Source organism: Homo sapiens, chromosome 8 (assembly GCF_000001405.40).
Source record: "Homo sapiens chromosome 8, GRCh38.p14 Primary Assembly".
NCBI classification, from domain to species: Eukaryota; Metazoa; Chordata; class Mammalia; order Primates; family Hominidae; genus Homo; species Homo sapiens.
Window position 1 is genome coordinate 31,083,204 of NC_000008.11, and position 19,761 is coordinate 31,102,964.

Here is a 19,761-nt window from a genome sequence, read left to right on the forward strand (position 1 = left end):
TATTTTTCAATTATATAGAGAATGCTTTTTGTAAAATACTGATTTATTTAAAGATATTACAATCATAGTAGTTTTTTGCAATCTTTTTTAAATCAGTGGATGTCAAGGAACAACTATTGTTCTTTGTACGGCATTTTTCAACATTGTGAAGAGTTCTTATACTCAAAAAGTTTGGGAGACACAGTGTGACATTGTTTAACCTGAGTTGAACTTGTCATTTTGTATTCTTGTTTAGAGCAGGGATTTTATTTTGTCTCTTTATCTAACTTTGTATTCCTAACTATTTCTTTCTTTCTCTTTGGTTCTTTGTTTCTTTGTTCATTCTTCTCTCTCTCCCTTTTTTATCTATCATATAAATATGTAAATATATATTATATATCCATTAGGGAAGAGGAAGTTGTCTAAAGATATCTAGTATATAGGAGCTTTGTTCTGCAGAAAAGAGGATATGAAGTCAATTATATTGGAAATTAATGCTTAATACTTTTTTTAAAGCATTTATCTCCCAATGATAATGAAAACGATACGTCCTATGTAATTGAGAGTGATGAAGATTTAGAAATGGAGATGCTTAAGGTATGTTTACAATTATAAAAATATTACTTCAAGTTCTTTCCAAAGGACATTTAATTAAGTAAAATATTAACTAATTCTAAACTAGGTTCTACCACAATGAAATTGCTACTAATTATGTAACATTAGATTTCACATTTTCCAATTCATGTTTCTTTCATGTAGTCTATAAATAATGGGTTAGAGGTAATTTACTAATTTTAAATGTGCTTTCCTTGTTCCTTCTTATTTTTTATTTTGAAGACAGGGTCTCACTCTATCACCCAGGCTGGAGTGCAGTTGCTCCATCTCGGCTCACTGCAACCTTCACCTCCTGGGCTCAAGTGATCCTCCTGCATAAGCCTCCCGAGTAGCTGGGATTATGGGCGTGCACCACCATGCCCGGCTAATTTTTATAGTTTTAGTAGAGACAGGGTCTCACCATGTTGTCCTTGCTGGTCTCGAACTCTTTACCTCAAGTAATCCACCCGCCTTGGCCTCCCAAAGTGCTGGGATTACAGGTGTGAGCCACCACACCTGGCCTTGGATTTCATGATTTGACTGACATCTTTTACACAAATTATTGCCATTTTTTTATTGGGTACCAATTATTAGTATTGTTTTCTTTATTCGTTAAATAAGAAGTAAAATAACTTTTTTTTAAAAAAAGAACTTTTTTCCTAGTAAAAAGCTTATTTTCAATTTTTTTATTGCTTAAATTTTGCAGGTTAATTAAGGCTGTGCTTCCTTTTCCTACTTTCTGTTTAAATGTTTGGCATTTTTTGAGGGTTTTCTTTCTATGGATTTTTGTGGGGGATCCCATCTTGTTGGACACTTGGTTCCTGGAGATTGCCAAATTATTGAAAAGTTTCCTCATACCCAAACATTGGCAGTAGACTGAATAAATAACATCTCTGACACTATTTTTCAATTATATAGAGAATGCTATTTGTAAAATACTGATTTATTTAAAGATATTACAGTCAGTAGTTTTTTGCAATCTTTTTAAAATCAGTGGATGTCAAAAACAGCTATTGTTCTTTGTACAGCATTTTTCAACATTGTGAAGAGTTCTTATACTCAAAAAGTTTGGGAGACACAGTTTGATATTGTTTAACCTGAGTTGAACTTGTCATTTTGTATTCTTGTTTAGAGCAGGGATTTTATTTTGTCTCTTTATCTAACTTTGTATTCCTATTTCTTTCTTTCTCTTTGGTTCTTTGTTTCTTTGTTCATTCTTCTCTCTCTCCCTTTTTTATCTATCATATAAATATGTAAATATATATTATATATCCATTAGGGAAGAGGAAGCTGTCTAAAGATATCTAGTATATAGGAGCTTTGTTCTGCAGAAAAGAGGATATGAAGTCAATTATATTGGAAATTAATGCTTAATACTTTTTTTTAAAGCATTTATCTCCCAATGATAATGAAAACGATACGTCCTATGTAATTGAGAGTGATGAAGATTTAGAAATGGAGATGCTTAAGGTATGTTTACAATTATAAAAACATTACTTCAAGTTCTTTCCAAAGGACATTTAATTAAGTAAAATATTAACTAATTCTAAACCAGGTTCCACCACAATGAAATTGCTACTAATTATGTAACATTAGATTTCACATTTTCCAATTCATGTTTCTTTTATGTAGTCTATGAATAATGGGTTAGAGGTAATATACTAATTTTAATTGTGCTTTCTTTGTTCCTTCTTTTTTTTTTTTTTATTTTGAGACAGGGTCTCACTCTGTCACCCAGGCTGGGGTGTAGTGGTGCCATCTTGGCTCACTGCAACCTTCACCTCCAGGGCTGAAGTGATTCTCCTGCATGAGCCTCCTGAGTAGCTGGGATTACAGGCGTGTGCCACCATACCCGGCTTATTTTTGTATTTTTTGTAGAGATGGGGTTTCACCATGTTGCCCAGGATGGTCTTAAACTCCTGGGCTCAAGTGATCTACTGGCCTCAGCCTCCCAGCGTGCTGGGGATTGCAGGTGTGAGCCGCCGCATCCAGCCCTGTGTTCCTTCTTGTGTTACTTTCTTGTAATTTTTTCCTGGAATATGGGTAGTGATTTGGCTCTCCAGTATTGAAATTGAGTTTCCTTTCTTCCAATTCATGTGTATCCATTTTTATTTGGAAGTTTTGTTTTTATACATTCAATAATCATCTTTACTTTCTTTGGTATTATTTACTATGGATATTTTATATTATATAATTTTCAAATGGATTAAATGGTTCAGTTTTACTCTTATTATTGAGATTGAAAATACTAGTTTATAATTTATATATTTTCTATTCCTTTACCTCTAATTTCTTTGTCAGGTGTTACTAACCAAAGATGTATAATAAGAAAAGCCAATGTAGCTAAATTAAGTAAAAAATGAAGAAAAACACAGAAGTTCCCCATTATGCATTTTTTTATTCCTAATCTTTAGGTTGATGAGATTTTTTTATTTTTATGAAATGAGATTAATTTATTGACTTTTTTAGTTTTGAGGCCAAGTAATGAGTAGTGAGTAAGAATGTATATTCTAGGGCCAGGCATGGTGGCTCACTCATGTAATCTCAGCACTTTGGGAGGCCGAGGCAGGAGGATCACTTCATTCCAGGAGTTTGAGACCAACCTGGGCAACATGGCAAAACCCTCTCTCTCCAGAAAAATACAAGAATTGGCTGGGTGTGGTGGCATGTGCCTTTAGTCCCAGCTACTTGGGAGGCTGAGGTGGGAGGATCACCTGGGGAGCCTGGGGAGGTTGAGGCTGCAGTTAGCCATGACCATGCCACTGCACTCTAGCCTGGGTGACAGAGTGAGACCCTGTCTCAATTAAAAAATTAAAAAAAAAAAAGTAGATTGTGAATTCAGATGTAGGTTTGTATCCCAGCTTTTCCAGTTAGTATCTGTGTGACTTTGGGGAAGTTTCTTAGCATCTTTGATACTCGGTTAACAGTTGTAATTATTATTTAAGGTATTGCTTGAGAAGAGCTTAGTATAGAGCCTGACATTTAGTAAGTGTTTAATACATATTAGCTAACAGTAAAACTAGAACATAAATACTGAATTGTATTTTGTTATTAATTATCCATTTCTCTGAGAAGTACTGTTCCAATAGTACATTTATAGGAAACTTGTGGACGTCTACAAACGTATACATTAAATCTCTTAGAAGGCAACCTGGATGCCCATATTAGAGAACTCTATTTTAAACATGCATTCTAAGTATGTTTGTGGACTTGAATAAAATAAAACAAACAGAAACACTTCTTTCTTCTGCCTTCAGGCTTGAAATGAACATACTTTTTTTTAAAAAAAAACCTTCAAAATGAAAATATTAAATAAAAGATTTAATAAAAAGAGAAAGTAAAAACTGTAGTTTAATAAAGTCTTCCTGTCTCTTCATAGTTAAAAAATGTTATAGATGAAACAATTTTGAAATATTCTTGAAATAGATAATCTTTATTTAGGGGAGAATGTCAGATACTGTCAAGCCAAAATAAAAACAAATAACTTTATTTCATGTTTGTAAAATTCCTTTTCTAAAATGATTTGAATCTTTTGTTGTTTTGACAATTCCAAAACACATTTATTGTTTGCTCATAGTTTCAGCCTTATTCAGAAAGAATGCGACTGACACATGATATAGAGAAACTTGTTCCAAAAATAACATTAAAATCCACGTTTACTACTTGAGAATCGAAAATATTGAGGTGCAATAAAGAATAAAATGTTTTAAATTATCCAAATTTAAAATTTATGATAGCTTTCCCCAGGGGCAGTTTATTATATGCTATTAATGAGCCTTGTTTATGCTGGAAATGTTCCATCTTTGGCCTTGCGCCTTAGAAACCATTCATGAGCACATATTTAAACCGGAGCACACATGTTCTTTTGTAGTATGGCTTGCACATCTGCCAGCTTTCGACAAAATTGTAGGCCCTGTTAATAATAGTCCTTTTGTGTTTGGTGAAAAAGATACGACACTGTCAGTGGTTTTGCTTTTAAGATTTCTTTTAAACTTTCAGTCTTTAGAAAACCTCAATAGTGGCACGGTAGAACCAACTCATTCTAAATGCTTAAAAATGGAAAGAAATCTGGGTCTTCCTACTAAAGAAGAAGAAGAAGATGATGAAAATGAAGCTAATGAAGGGGAAGAAGATGATGATAAGGGTAAGCACTGAAGTATGTTTGAAATGACTCACCTGTGATACCTACCACTGACTTTAACTTAGGATCCAGTTTTGGATGGTTTGGAGGTCAGGGACTTTGTGGCATATAGTTAATTATTGGATCCTTATAAGCTTTTGTCTCCTTAGTGCTTTTGTCTCCATAAAGCACAATCTTACTACTTAGAAAAATAGAGTAATAGCATTATGATGATAAAAATATCTTTCCCTTTGTTTTTTTGTATTTCTCCAAATCATTATAGCTCTCATTTAGAATTATTAAAGCTGAGAACTCTAACAATGAACTTTTATTGTTTAGTGGTTAATTATCTTGATTCTTTGTTTTGCCCTTTCTTGGCCACTCAGGAATCTTTCAAGCTCACTGTGGACAGGGAAAGTGACTTGGGTAGAGCTAACATAACTTCATTGTGCTGTGCAGTTAGAATTTTGACCAAAGATGTGGGTAACTAACTTTTCCTAACTAAATGACATTTAGGTAACTAAACTAAACGAGATTTTCGTAACTAAATTTTGGTGTAACTACATTTAGCTTTAGGTAACTAAAACGAAGATTTTATTTTATCTGTGGATTTTTTTAGTGCGGGACTAATGTAATTTCTGATTACCATTAATTGAAGGTTGGTTATATTATAACATTTGGATTGGTATATTGCTTGCCATGGTTTGTTCTAAATGTTAGCCTTTAGAAGTATTCCTGATTCTAAAACATCAGTTTTTTTTAATAGTCCTGGCAAAGTGTGAATCACAACAAAATTCTAATACTTAAAAGTAATCCAAGTGTCACAGATGGTACCCAGAAGACCAGTTTGTATTGGAATTAAAAAATAGAAAACATTAACCCATGGTAGCTGTCACTGTATTCTTTCAAAGAAGCCAATGAAATAAACTGTTTTCTCCCTCTATGTGGTGTTTTTCTACTTGAACATAAATGCACATTTTATTTTATTTCCAGACTTTTTGTGGCCAGCACCCAATGAAGAGCAAGTTACTTGCCTCAAGATGTACTTTGGCCATTCCAGTTTTAAACCGTGAGTATAATCTCATTTAATCAAATCACATATTTAGTATTCTCTTTAAAACAAGGGAAAAGGCAAATAACCTGTCTGCTTAACAGCAACAGCACAACTTCACTATAGTTATACATGCCACACTGTATTTTCTGTGTGACTACAAAATTATTTCAAAGTGATATTTATATAAAATTCATTTCTGCAAATTGTTTTTATAAGTGAGGAAAAATGGTTTTCCTTTAACTGAGCAGTTCTGAGTAGAAACTAGTTTAAAGATACTTATAAATAAATGTTAATTTAATACTGACTTGTTTTTCATTAAACGAGTGTCTATGTGCCTGTTTTGTGTATATTACCCAGAACATGCAGATGTACTAGAAGTTCTTAATACAACAATTTGAGGAATAGTGATAATCTTATCTATTTTAATGTACTCAAAATTTGTTTACATCTAACAGGCACATTTTTGTGAGGATTAAATGAGATGAATAAGAATGAGATGAACAAGTAAATGTGAATAAAACTAATAAGCCTGTGAAAATCTAGACTGGATTTTTCCTATTCTGAGAATTTAAAATATAATCCACTGAAGTATTTCTTTCCTTTTTTCTTTTGATCTTAAACATTTTTTATTTATGTCTTACATACAGAAAAGTGCACATGTTGTAGAGATCAATGAATTGTCATAAACTGGGCACCCTGTGGCCAGCACTTAGTTAAGAATAGGTCAGTAACAGCATGCCAGAAGACCACCTCTCCAATTGATTTTTCCCATGATATTTTATTAAGAAAATTTTCTAAGATGTAGTAAAGTTGAAAGAACTTTTTTCTGTGCATGTCTGTATTCCCACCACCTAAATTCAACTATCATTACTATACTTGCTTTATCACATATCCATCCATTCATATGTCTCTATCCATCCATTCATTCATTCCAGTTTTAAAATGCATCTCAGGGTCAATCGAGGACACCATTACACTTCCACCTAAGTATTTCAGCATGTAAATTATTAACGAGTTAAATATTTACTTAACAGTTTTTTCTTTGGTGTAAAATTTGCACGTAAGGAAATATAAAACTTTAAGTGTACATTTGCAAATTTTAAATATACATGTGCATACCCATGTAACCCAAATTCTTATCAAGAGATATTATTATCATCACCACACAGAGTTCCCTTATTTCCCTTTTCAGTCAGTCCTTGTCCCTGAGCATTTCTCTTATTATTTTAAAGTATTGATTCTTTTGGATATCTAGTATGAAGCTTAGAATCTGTTTTTTACTTTAGATGTATGTAGTGAAATTTAATATATATACCAAATGGTAGTTGTTAGTTAGCTTGAATGGGACATTGGTCAAATGGCATTGTTTGTTTTAAAGTTCCAGGTTTGTGCATTTATGTATGAAGTTTGAAAATAAATTCTATGAGAGGAAATGAAAAATTGAATGGATTTTAATTTGTACCTTGGGTTTCTTATTAATAAAACAAAATAGCTTTTTGCTTTTCACCTTCAAGAGTTCAGTGGAAAGTGATTCATTCAGTATTAGAAGAAAGAAGAGATAATGTTGCTGTCATGGCAACTGGTAAGTTGTACTTAAGCAAAACCTAATCCTTTAAAAAAATAAAACATAAAGAGTTTGAAATGCTTAATCTTTCATTAAACTCTCAAAATACAAATGCAACTACAAATGATGTAAACTATAGAAGAGAGTGAACAAAGAACAGATGCTCAGATTTATGTATCAATTAGCTTTTAGGAAGATAGCATACTAGTATTGACCATTCATCTGTATAAGTACATTGTAAAAAGAAATGAAAGCATCAAAGGTTTATTTTTATTTCTATATTTTTTTCATTTTATTTTTATATTTTTTTCATTTCAAGGATATGGAAAGAGTTTGTGCTTCCAGTATCCACCTGTTTATGTAGGCAAGATTGGCCTTGTTATCTCTCCCCTTATTTCTCTGATGGAAGACCAAGTGCTACAGCTTAAGTAAGTCATGTTATCATTGCCACAATATCACCCTCTTTTTTTCTTCTGTGGGTGAAACATCTGATCCATCATGCATGTTAAAATCTAGTTCACAATAACACATTTCTGCAGGTATTGCTTTATCTTTATTGGTAATAAATGACCCTTTAGTGGAAGAGCTTACCTTCTTTCTTGTGTTCTCTGTAATTCAAAGCTACCAGGTGGCCCTGATAAAATTTTTTTAAAAAACATTATTACTTTATGCTGGTTTACATTGAATATCTCAAAATTCTTTTCTCTTTTTGTTACCCTTGCTTTTTAGCTTGATAAGAAGTGTATACATGGAAGTATATTTTTTATCTATGAAACACTTTTCAGCTTCTTCAACCTGAGCTTGCAATCTGTTTTAAATTGATACATAATATCTTTACATATTCATGGGGTACTGTAGTATTTTGATACACTCATATCAAATACACTTGATCAAATCAGGGCATTTGTTCATCAACTTGAACATTTATCATTTCTTTGTGCTGGGAACATTTCTAATCTTTTCTTTGAGTTATTTTGAAATACACAGTGTTGTTGTTAACTATAGTTACCCTACTGTTGGTTAATGAGTACAAACATACAGTTAGAAGGAATAGGTTCTAGCAACCTATTCCTTTACCCCCTGTCATCCCCTGCTGCCCTGAGCTTGCAGTCTCTTTCAAAGACCCACCTTAAAAACTTGCATTCTGATAAGGCCCTTGAAGGAATTTGCTTATCAAGTTAGTAAGTGACAAAAAAGAAAATTGCAAAGAACAGGAATATAAATTATTATATTTCTTTATTCTTTCTCACTTAAGAGTGAAATTGATATGTGTAATGTGTACATGGTGCCAGAATATTTGTTTTTCTTCTTATAGAATGTCCAACATCCCAGCTTGCTTCCTTGGATCAGCACAGTCAGAAAATGTTCTAACAGATATTAAATTGTGAGTAATTTTTTTCCCTCAACTTTTATTTTGGATTTATGGGGGTGCATATGCAAGTTTGTTACGTGGGTGAATTACATGTTGCTGAGGAAGTTGTGAGTAATTTATGTCATTTCTAATCATGTGGTCAGATGTCTGTGGTATATGAGAGAATTTTGTATACAAACAAATTTTACTAAATGCATGAAAAAAAAAGTCCATGATTTTAAAATGCACTTTCTTTTGTACCTTTGCAGGACTGTTACTTTTTAAATCCTTCAAACTTGAAGAAATCTGTTATTCTCGGTTCTTGGGCTATAAGATTAGCATTGTACTCATAGAATTATAAAAATTTTGGTTTTGGAAGAGAAGTTGGAGAATATAAAGATTTGTCTCATTTTATAGATGAGAAAACTGAGGCTCAGAGACAAGTAATTTGCCCAAAATCACACAATGACTGGCTGAGCAGGGACTGGATTCTAGGTCTCTTGCCCAACCAATTCTATCATGATGTAATTCCTAAGGAGAATGTCATCTCAGATACACATACACACACCCATTTTGTGTGTGTGTGTGTGTGTGTATATGTACACACACACACAAACATATGTACACTTATATATACATACACACACATATATTAATATATATGCATATATATGCATGTTCTAATTCAGAACATTTTCATCACTCCCAAAAGAACACCCCTGCCCATTAAGCAGTTGCTTTCTTTACGTATATATTAGTATATACATACACACGAGATACACATATATTTACTGAGTTTTGATAAATGCATACAAAGATGTAAACCAAACCTCTAACAAGATACAGAATATCACTGACACTCTAGAAAGTTTCTTCATGTCCCTCCCCAGTCTGTCCTTCCATCCTCCATCCTAGGCAAGCCACTGCTCCGATTTTCTCTACCATAGTTTGGTAGAATGCCATATAAATGCAGTCACACAATATTAACTCTTTTGTGTAAGACTTCTTTCATTTGCTGTAATGTTTCTGAGATTCTTTCATGCTGTTGCATGTATCAGTAGTTTTTTGTTTTGTTTTGTTTTGTTTTTGTTTTTTCAGAGTCAGGGTCTCCTTCTGTCACCCAGGCTAGAGTACAGTGGCGCAATCATAGCTTACTGCAGCCTCTAACTACTGGGCTCAAGCTATCCTCCTGCCTCTCAAGTAGGCTAGGCTGCAGGTATGTTCCACCATGCCTGGCTAATTATTAAATTTTTTGTAGAGACAGGATCTTGCTTGGTTGCCCAGGCTGGTCTTGAACTCCTGGCGTCAGGATTGTTTCCAGTTTTGGATTATTACAAATAAAGCTGAGACACATATAAGTCTTTGTATGGACATATGGTTTCATTTTATTGATACATGTCAAGGAGTGGGATGACTGGATCGTGTGGTGGATATATGTTTAACTTTCTTTTTTCTGAGATAAAATTAGAAGGCGATCCTCCTGCCTTGGCTTTCCAAAGTGCCGGGATTACAGGCGTGAACCACCGCACCTGATGCAGTTGTTGTTGTTGTTGTTGTTTTAATATCTGATTATTATTTTATTGTATTTCATTGAATATAGCACAGTTTGTTTTTACATTTTCTTATTGATAGACACCTAGGCTATTTTTCTGGTTTTGGACTGTTACTAATAAAGCTGCTATACACATCCTTATAAAAATCTTTTTTGTGAACATGTTTTCTTTTTTTCTAAGCATTTTAAATCACCTTTATTGAGGTGTAATTGACTTACAATAAATTTTATATGCTGAGAATGTATAATTTGATAAGTTTTGACACAGGTATGCACTCATGAAACCATCATCACAATCCAGATAATGAACATATTCATCACCCACAAAGTTTACCTTTTTGTTTTAACCCCAGTCACCGGGTAACTGCTGAGCTCCTTCCTGTTACTGTAGACTAGTTTGCATTTTCTAAACTTATATACATGGAGTCATTCATATTTTATGTGCTCTTTTTTGTCTGATTTAAATAATGCAGTATAATTATTTTGAGATTCATTCATGTTATTACAGTGATTAATAGTTCATTCCTCTTATTGTTAAGTGGATTACATTTTATGGATATCCAACAAGTTGTTTATCCATTCACCTGATAGACATTTGGATCGTTTCCAGTTTTGGGTTATTACAAATAAAACTGCTATGAACATTCGTATGTAAGTCTTTGTATGGACATATGTTTTCATTTTATTATATATGACGGAGCGGAATGACTGGAACATGTGATGCATATATGTTTAACTTTCTTTTTTCTAATTGAGATAAAATTCACAGAACATAACTTTTACCATTTTAATCATTACTAAAGTCCAGTGGGTTTTGGTATAGTAATAATATATAACCATCATAATTAATTCCAGAACATTTTCCTAACTCCCAAAAGAAATTCCATACCCATTAAGGAGTCATTCCCTATTTTCCCTTTTCTTTTCTTTCTTTTTTTTTTTTTTTGAGTCAGGGTCTCCCTCTGTCTCCCGGGCTGGAGTGCACTTGCATGATCTTGGTTCACTGCATCCTTGATTTCCTGGGCTCAATTGATCCTCCCACCTCAGTCTCCTGAGTAGCTGGGACTGTAGGCATATGTTACCATACCTGGCTAATTTGTTTTATTTTGAGTGGAGATGAGATTTTGCTATGTTGCCCAGGTTGCTCTCAAACTCCTGGGCTCAAGTAATTGTCCCACCTCAGCCTTCCAAAATGCTGGGATTACAGGCGTGAGCCACTCTGCCCGGCCTATTATCTCTGTTCTGCCCACTTCCAACCACTAATCTACTTTCTGTCTCTATGATTTGCCTATTCTGGATGTTTCTATAAATTAACTTATACATTATATGGCCTTTTGTGTCTGGCATCTTCCACTTAGCATAGTGATATCAGTACTTCATTCGGTCTTTTTTTATGACTGAATAATATTCCATAGTATGGGCATACACATTTTAAAAATTCATTCATCAGTGATGGACATTTGGGTTGTTTCCTTTTTGGCTGTTATGAATAATGATGCTGTGAACATTTGTGTACCAATTTTTTTATGAACATACATTTTCAACGCTTTTGCATATATGCCTAAGAGTGGAATTGCTGGGCTATATGCTAATTTTTTAAGAAACTATGAAGCTTTTGAGAGTGATTGTATCATGGGATATTCCCACCAGCAGTGTATGAGAGGTCCAGTTCCTCCCCATCCTTGCTATCACTTAGTCTGGCTGATCTTTAACTTAAGCCATTCTAATAGTATCTCATTGTATTTTTAGTTTGCTTTTCCCTAATGACTAATTATATTGAGCATTTTTCATACACTTATTGGCCATCTGTATATCTTCTTTGAGGGAGTATCTGTTCAAATCTTTTGCCTATTTTTTCTTAGTGAGTTTTGATAGTCATTTCTATATTCTGAATATAAATTATTTATTTGATATATGCTTTGCAAACATTTTCTCCTAGTTTATGGCTTTTCATACTTTCCACACAGTTCTTTTGAAGAGCAGCAGTTTTTCATTTTGATAAAGTCCAGTTTGTCGATTCGTTCTTTTAGGGATTTTGCTTTTAGTGTTTTGACCCAAGGTCACAAAGATTTGCTTTTATGTTTTCTCCTAAAAGTTTTATAGTTTTAAGTTTTACATTTAGATTTACGATTCATTTTTAGTAAATGTTGTCTATTGTATGAGGTATTGATTACAGTTTATGTATTTTTCACATATTGTTCCAGCTCCATTTTTTAAAAAGACTATGCTTTTACACTGAATTGACTTTGTACCTTTGTCAAAAATAAATTGACTACATATATGTGGGTCTATTGCTGCACTCTCTATTCTGTGTTCTGTGGATCTATTTGTCTGTCTTGATTGGTGTCTTGATTACTGTAGCTTTATAATAAACCTGGAAATCAGGTAGCGCAAGGCCTCTTGCTTTGCTCTTTTCTTTCAAAGTTGTTCTGGCTATTCTATGTCCTTTGTATTTCTGTGAGCATGTCAGCATCACCTTTTCAACCCATATGCCTGCTGGGATTTTGAATGAGTTTACCTTGAATCTAGATATCGAAACAATTAGCTGTCTTGATAGTTATTGTCACCGTTTTATACCGAAGAAACTAGGCATACTAAAGTAACTTGGCTAACATCACTTACCTTGTAAGAAGTAGAACTGGGCTGTTTGACATCAGAGCTTATTCTTTATACCATTTCCTATGTTAATTAGAATACAATATTAATTTCATAAAGGTAAAGGCATATCTGTTTTGTTCCTATTTGATTCCTTGTGAAAGCACAATGCCTAGCGCACAATAGACACTTAAACTTATCTGTTGAATGGACAGGTGAATGCTTTTAAAGTCTTTCCATATAGAAAATTAAGTTTCATTACATTTGACTTGATCTAGGTTTTCATTTCATAGAATGGAGAGCAGACTCTGTAAATATTTTGCCCCAGACCTAGCTTTATTACAAACATTGTCTTAATTAGGATTCTGTCTACCCAGAATAGAAATTAACTCAAGCTAGCATGAGTGTATATTGAAATTTATATTAAGGATAAAGGAATGTCTCATAGATCCCACTCAAAAGAAATTAGCCAGCCCTTAGGAAGAGACTGGAATTGGGTTTGGAAAATACAATAGGTCTTTCTTTTTATCTGTAGTCTTTAGTGAGTCTTCCTCATTTTTCTCTCTGAAGAGATAAGCATTCTCTGCATATATATAGCATTCTTTTAGATTTTCGTGACATAAAGTATTATTTAAACTTTCATAAGGTATCTTGATTTTAAGTTGTAATTCCTTGAGATGATTGTTTTCTTTATTGTTAATATGTTTCCCTTCCTGTTTTTTTTTTTTTCTTTTTTCTTTTGTTTGTTTTTACAGAGGTAAATACCGGATTGTATACGTAACTCCAGAATACTGTTCAGGTAACATGGGCCTGCTCCAGCAACTTGAGGCTGATATTGGTAAGTGATAAAGAAAGATCTCTGTAAATACTTACTGAGTTAATATTTAAAGTTAAACCTATGGATGGACACTGGATTTCACTTCTGTTAAAGTTTATTTCAAACATTACTTCCTCCAGGAAATCTCTGACTCTCTAACTTGCTGTTTCACCTATCTTATCCCATGATACTCTATAATTCCTTTTGCTATAGAAATTAGGCTCTGTTATCATAATTACCTGTTTATATATCTGTTTTCTTCTGCTAGGCTATAAACTTTTCAAGGGAAAAATATCACTTTTTAAAATTTATGTTTCCCCAGTGCAGTGCTTGGCATATAGGCACTTAAACATATTGTTGAATGAATGTTGAATCCTAGGTTCTGTGAAATTTTAATTTACTTGTTTTTCATGTTCTGTATCTAAATTAAGTCAGTGTAGTGGTTTTGTACCCTCTTTGTTCATAAGAATCACTTTTCAAACTTTAAAAAAAATGTAGGTAACCAACACCCAACTCTGAAAATTCTGATTTAACAGGCCTGGGTTGGCACCTGGCATTGGTGGTTTCTCACAGGTGATTCTGATATATAGCCCGGGTTGGAAACCACAGTACCTTTGATTAGTTGCCACTAGTGAGTATGATTTATTACAAAAACCAAAAACTTAGATAAGTCACAGTTTATTTCCTAGAACGTGTAAATATAGAATTAGTCAAAAGCTGATAGCACTTTTTTTGTACTTAAAAATATTTTAAGCCTCAGTATAGTGAGACCTCATCTCTACAAATAATTTTTTAAAAAATTGGCCGAGCCTGGTGGTGCATGCCCATAGTCCAAGCTACTTGGGAGGCTGAGGTAGGAGGATTGTTTGAGCCTGGGAGATGAAGGCTGCGGTGAGCCAAGATCATGCTACTGCACTCCATCCTGGGCAACAGAGCGAGACCATGCCTCAAAAAAAATTTTTTTTTCTTCTTGGTGGTTAGGCTTAACTATCCAAGAATTGCAATCATGGCTTCTATTGCAAATGCCCCTATTTCCCACCTTCAGTTGGCCTAACCAAATTTAATTTTTCAATATCATATGATCTTTTTGTATAATTATGTATTCAAATAATTCCAGATAGGTTAGGTTTTCGAATTGCAACGTCTCATTTAATGGTTACTTTCATATAACTGTAGGAAAGCATTTGATAATTTTTCCAACAATGTAATGAAAACAAACTTGTATCTTTTTTATTATGTGTTAAAACCAACAAAAGAATGAGGGCAGCAATTAACATTTCATTAAATATATTAGCAATGAGTACATTTATGAGCTCTTAAACTCCCTTATTGACATACTGTATTTTTTGCCTTTAATGGACAATGAATTTGATATGTTTCCTAATAGGTTGTATGAAGTTATTGTGAATATTTCACTTTGGATTAAGAATAACTACCCTATATATAAATTTCATGGTTGTATTGCAAAAGCTGGGGTCTATGTCCATAGTGGTTTGGGTACGTTTTTACTATTTGCTTTGTTTCTGTGATAGTGTTAAATGAATAATAAGCTTAAGTATTTAAGCAAATACTTAATACTTCTGACAAGTAGTTAGAACTCTCTATTTTTGTTTTTTTGTAATGGATGAGTTATGGACACTGCAATTATTAGAGCAGCGTACTTTGCTTATGATGGATGAAAATGTTCTCTGGTTGACTCAGTGTTGAATAAAAAGGGATACATGAAATAAAAATTATTTTTGAAATATTTTCCTTTGCCTTTTGTTGCGGGAAATTGTACAATGCTTGCAAAAATGAATATACGCAGGATATTATTTGTACAGCAGTCTGACATTTAGCTAATCAGATTCCTCATTTTTAGGTAAATGTTAAATTACTTAAGTAGTCTGGATTTTTAACAGAAACAGCAAACATAGTTTTATAGGGAGGCTCCTTACCAACCAGACTTTTAACTTAAGTGAATGTTGGCAAAAGCTTGTCTAAACTGATTTCCAGGGATAAGGTTTAGCTCCATTAAAAGCTAGTTTGTCAAACCTGTAACTAAAGCTTTTTAAAAAATGAAAGTTTTAAAAGAGACCATCATTCTGTTTTAACCTATTTAATTTAAAATCTGGGCTGAAGTAGGAGTATTGCTTGAACCCAGGAGTTCGAGACCAGCCTGGGCAACACAGTGAGACCCCATCTCTGAAAAAAAAAAATGAGCTGAGCATGGTACCTGTTACAGTGCTAGTTATGAAAGAAAGAAAGAGAGAGAGAGAGAAGGAAGGAAGGGAGAAAGGAAGGAAGGGGCTGGGAGTGGTGGCTCACACCTGTAATCCCAGCACTTTGGGAGGCCGAGGCGGGTGGATCATGAGGTCAGGAGATCGAGACCATCCTGGCGAACATGGTGAAACCCTGTCTCTACTAAAAATACAAAAAGAAAAAATTAGCCGGGCATGGTGGTGGGTGCCTGTAGTCCCAGCTACTGGGGAGGGTAAGGCAGGAGAATGGCATGAACCCGGGAGGCAGAGCTTGCAGTGAGCCGAGATTGCGCCACTGCACTTTAGCCTAAGAAAAGGAAGGAAGGAAGGAAGGAAGGAAGGAAGGAAAAATCAGTCACTCACTCAGGTTTAGTTTCAAAAGCCAAAACAGTGATAATATTGAATTTTTTCCAGCCACTCAGTAGTACCCAGAGAATTTTGATACAAATAACTGACTTTGACCCCATGTTTAGTAGGTTTTTTTTTTGTTTGTTTGTTTGTTTTTTTTTTTTGTCTTTCTTCTCCACACTCTCTTAGGACTGTTGTAGCTTGTAATGTTAGTGAATTGTAATTGTTTATTTGCATGTCTGTCTCCTCTTTTAGAATTGTGAACTCCTCAGGTCATGGATTGTATTTTATTAGTCTTTTTATTCCTAGAAAAGTGTTTGGATAATAATAGATATTTATTAACCATAATAGGAGTAGTAGCATTTTTGTGTGTGTGTGCCAGGCCCTATTTTAGCATTTTATGTGAATGATATAATTTAATTTTTAGAGCATCTAGAAAATGTTAGGTACCATTATTATCCACATTTTACTTGTGAGAGGACTGAGACTTGGAAAGCTTAAGTAACTTGCTTAAGGTAATACACATGGCAGATGGTGGAGCCAGGTTCTGCATCTGGGCAGTCTGACTTTAGAGCTTTTTAATCATCCTCCTCCTAGTGTCCGAACATTATTAATGCTCAGAGAAGTATCAAAGAATGATGATACTCATTGAGGGAAAAAATTATTCTTAAGTATCAATTTGTTAATTGAGGACAAAAGCACTACTGTTACTACTGTGAAAAATCTGAAAACATTGTCACGGATGATTTTACAATAACATCCTTTTCTGACATGCATTACAACACACTATTGATTCCGTTTCAATGTTTGTGTCTGGTATGGGGGCGGAGTAGAGAGGCTACTACAGGAAGAAAGAACAAATAACATTTCTTCTTACTACTTTGTGCATCATGTGATTTAGCTCCTCCCATACCATTTTACATTAGAAAATGTGGCTGTCCTCCTGTGCTCTAGTACTGGCATTTCAGAGGACTCTTTGCAATATGATATGTGATCAATCATGGATGGCGATGCAGTTAATTTCAGTAGAAATTTGCTGACTCTTTTTATCTCTTTTAATAGCTAATGCATGAGATAAAATTGAAGGTATTACCAAGGAGAAATGCAGGTGGATAGTTTTGGAGGCAAAGTCACAGTAAGCAATTCATCTCTCCAAGGAATAGTGATGAAAGCTGAGATCCAATAAATGTCTTGTTTGGATTAATACATAAATATTTCCTTTTAAAATTCTTAAGGCTTTTATTCATATATCTCCCCTCTCCCTATTTCCAATAATGATTTTTGGTGTTAATATGATGATATTTATGCTTCTGTTTTTATAGGAACCAAATACTTTGATTTGGTTATTTATTCTCCTTTGGAGATGTAGATGAGTTTATTTTTTCCTTTCGAGCTTTATCTTTTCCTTTATGTGTTTTTCTTTTTTTACAGGTATCACGCTCATTGCTGTGGATGAGGCTCACTGTATTTCTGAGTGGGGGCATGATTTTAGGGATTCATTCAGGAAGTTGGGCTCCCTAAAGACAGCACTGCCAATGGTAAGCTTTGCCAAGTCTGATGTCCCGAAATTACATTCTTAATAAGGAGAGCATTCAGGATTGGGGAGTGGTAAAGAAGCTGAAGACTTCACTATAAAAGAGCAAATGGATAATGTAAAAAGAGAACTATTTTTTTAAAAATGCTAAAGTTGGTATATAATCTATTGAGGAATATAATAGAACAAGGCTTGACAAACCTTTTCTGAAAGGACCAGATAATAAATATTTCAAGCTTTATAGGCCACATGTAGTCTGTATCACATATTCCTCTCTCTGTTTTTTCTTTTAGTAACCCTTTAAAAATATAAAGAGTTACATTTTTCACTGGTGGGCCATAACAAAACAGGCTGTGGGCCATATTTGTCCGAATGTCTTCTCAGTGATCTTTCATCCGTATGTCCTTTTACTCTAGGATGCTGTGAAATCCTGGTTACCCCTTCTTGTATCACATTGAAAACCTAAAGTTTGAACTATTCTATAGAAATTTTATTAAAGCTTTTGGTATTAGAATTTCCCTTTCTTCCCTAATTATAAAAAATAGCAAATTTTGGCCGGGCATGGTGGCTCACGCCTGTAGTCCCAGCACTTTGGGAGGCCGAGGTGGGTGGATCACCTGAGGTCAGGAGTTCGAGACCAGCCTGGTCAACATGGTGAAACCCTGTCTCTACTAAAAATACAACAATTAGCTGGGCGTGGTGGCAGGTGCCTGTAATCCCAGCTACTTGGGAGGCTGAGGCAGGGGAATTGCTTGAACTCGGGAGGTGGAGGTTGCAGTGAGCCGAGATTGTGCCATTCCACTCCAGCCTGGGCAACAAGAGCGAAACTCTGTCTCAAAAAAAAAAAAAAAAAAAAAAAAAGTGAATTTTTACATGAATATTCTACATGATTGGCATATTTACATGAATGGTTTAAAAACCCACAATAATAGCACTGTTTTATTTTTTATTTTGAAAATTGTAGATTCACAAGAAGTTGTAAAAAAAAAAATACCTATATAGAGGTCCTATGTACCTTTCATCCAGTTTCCTGAACAGTAACATCTTGTGTGACTATAGTACAATATCAAAACTAGGAATATGACATTTGTACAGTATCTAGAGTTTATTCCTATTTCTCTAGTTTTGTAAGTACTCTTTTGTATGGCATGTGTATTGTTCTATACAGTTTAATCTCATGTACATTTGTGTAACTACCACTGCAGTCAGGATGCCAAATGTTCCCTTACCACAAAGCTCCCTGGAGCTGTTCTTCCCACCCCTGGCCCTAGCCACTGGCAACCACAAATCTGGTCTCTATCTCTAAAATATTATTTCAAGAATGTTATATACATGGAATCATGCAATTTGTCACCTTTTGGAATTAGTTTTTTTCACTCAACATAACTACCTTGAGATCTATCCAAGTTGTTTGTGGTCATGTGTTGCCTAACAACAGGGATATGTTCTGAGAAATGTGTTCTTAGGACATTTTGTGGTTGTCTGAACATGGACTTACACAAACCTACATGATAAAGCTTACTGCACACCTAGGCTATATGATAGAGCCTATTGCTCCTAGGCTGTAAACCTGTACAGATGTTACTGTAATGAATATTGCAGGCAATTGTAATACAATGGTAAGTATTTGTGTATCTAAACTTATCTAATGTAGAAAAGACACAGTAAAAATACAGTATAAAAGATAAAAGATGGTATACCTGTATAGGGTGCTTCCTGTGAATGGAGCTTGTAGGACTGGAAGTTGCTCTGAGTGAGTGAGGGAGTGGCGAGTGAATGTAAAGGCCTAGGACATTACTGTACACTACTGTAGACTTTATACATATTGTACACTTAGGCGACACTAAATTTTTAAAATTTTCTTTAAAAATTTTCTTTCTTCAATAATAAATTAATCTCAGTTTACTGTAACTTTAATTCATAAACCTAAAACATTTTTTGACTTTGGACTCTTGTAATAATTCTTAGATTAAAACATGAACACATTGTACAGCTGTACAAAAATTTTTTCTT

The 19,761-nt window shown here is 34.1% G+C and overlaps 1 protein-coding gene across 6 annotated transcripts in view; it reads left to right on the top strand.

Annotated features, from left to right (window-relative positions):
- Positions 1–19,761, top strand: part of WRN (WRN RecQ like helicase) — a 142,329-nt gene that overhangs the window by 49,394 nt on the left and 73,174 nt on the right. For 4 of the 6 annotated variants that reach the window (XR_949472.4, XR_949471.4, XR_949470.4 and 1 more), the window contains exons 10-18: positions 496–576; positions 1,963–2,043; positions 4,573–4,717; positions 5,687–5,762; positions 7,262–7,329; positions 7,631–7,739; positions 8,627–8,695; positions 13,565–13,647; positions 17,646–17,752. Coding sequence is in view for 3 of the 6 variants with exons in the window: in NM_000553.6 (NP_000544.2) it covers positions 496–576; positions 1,963–2,043; positions 4,573–4,717; positions 5,687–5,762; positions 7,262–7,329; positions 7,631–7,739; positions 8,627–8,695; positions 13,565–13,647; positions 17,646–17,752 (819 nt within the window). In the remaining 3 variants the exon portion in view is untranslated. Of the gene's footprint in view, positions 1–495; positions 577–1,962; positions 2,044–4,572; positions 4,718–5,686; positions 5,763–7,261; positions 7,330–7,630; positions 7,740–8,626; positions 8,696–13,564; positions 13,648–17,645; positions 17,753–19,761 lie in introns of those variants that run through there. The other 2 variants (XM_011544639.4, XM_011544640.2) reach the window with 2 other exon arrangements.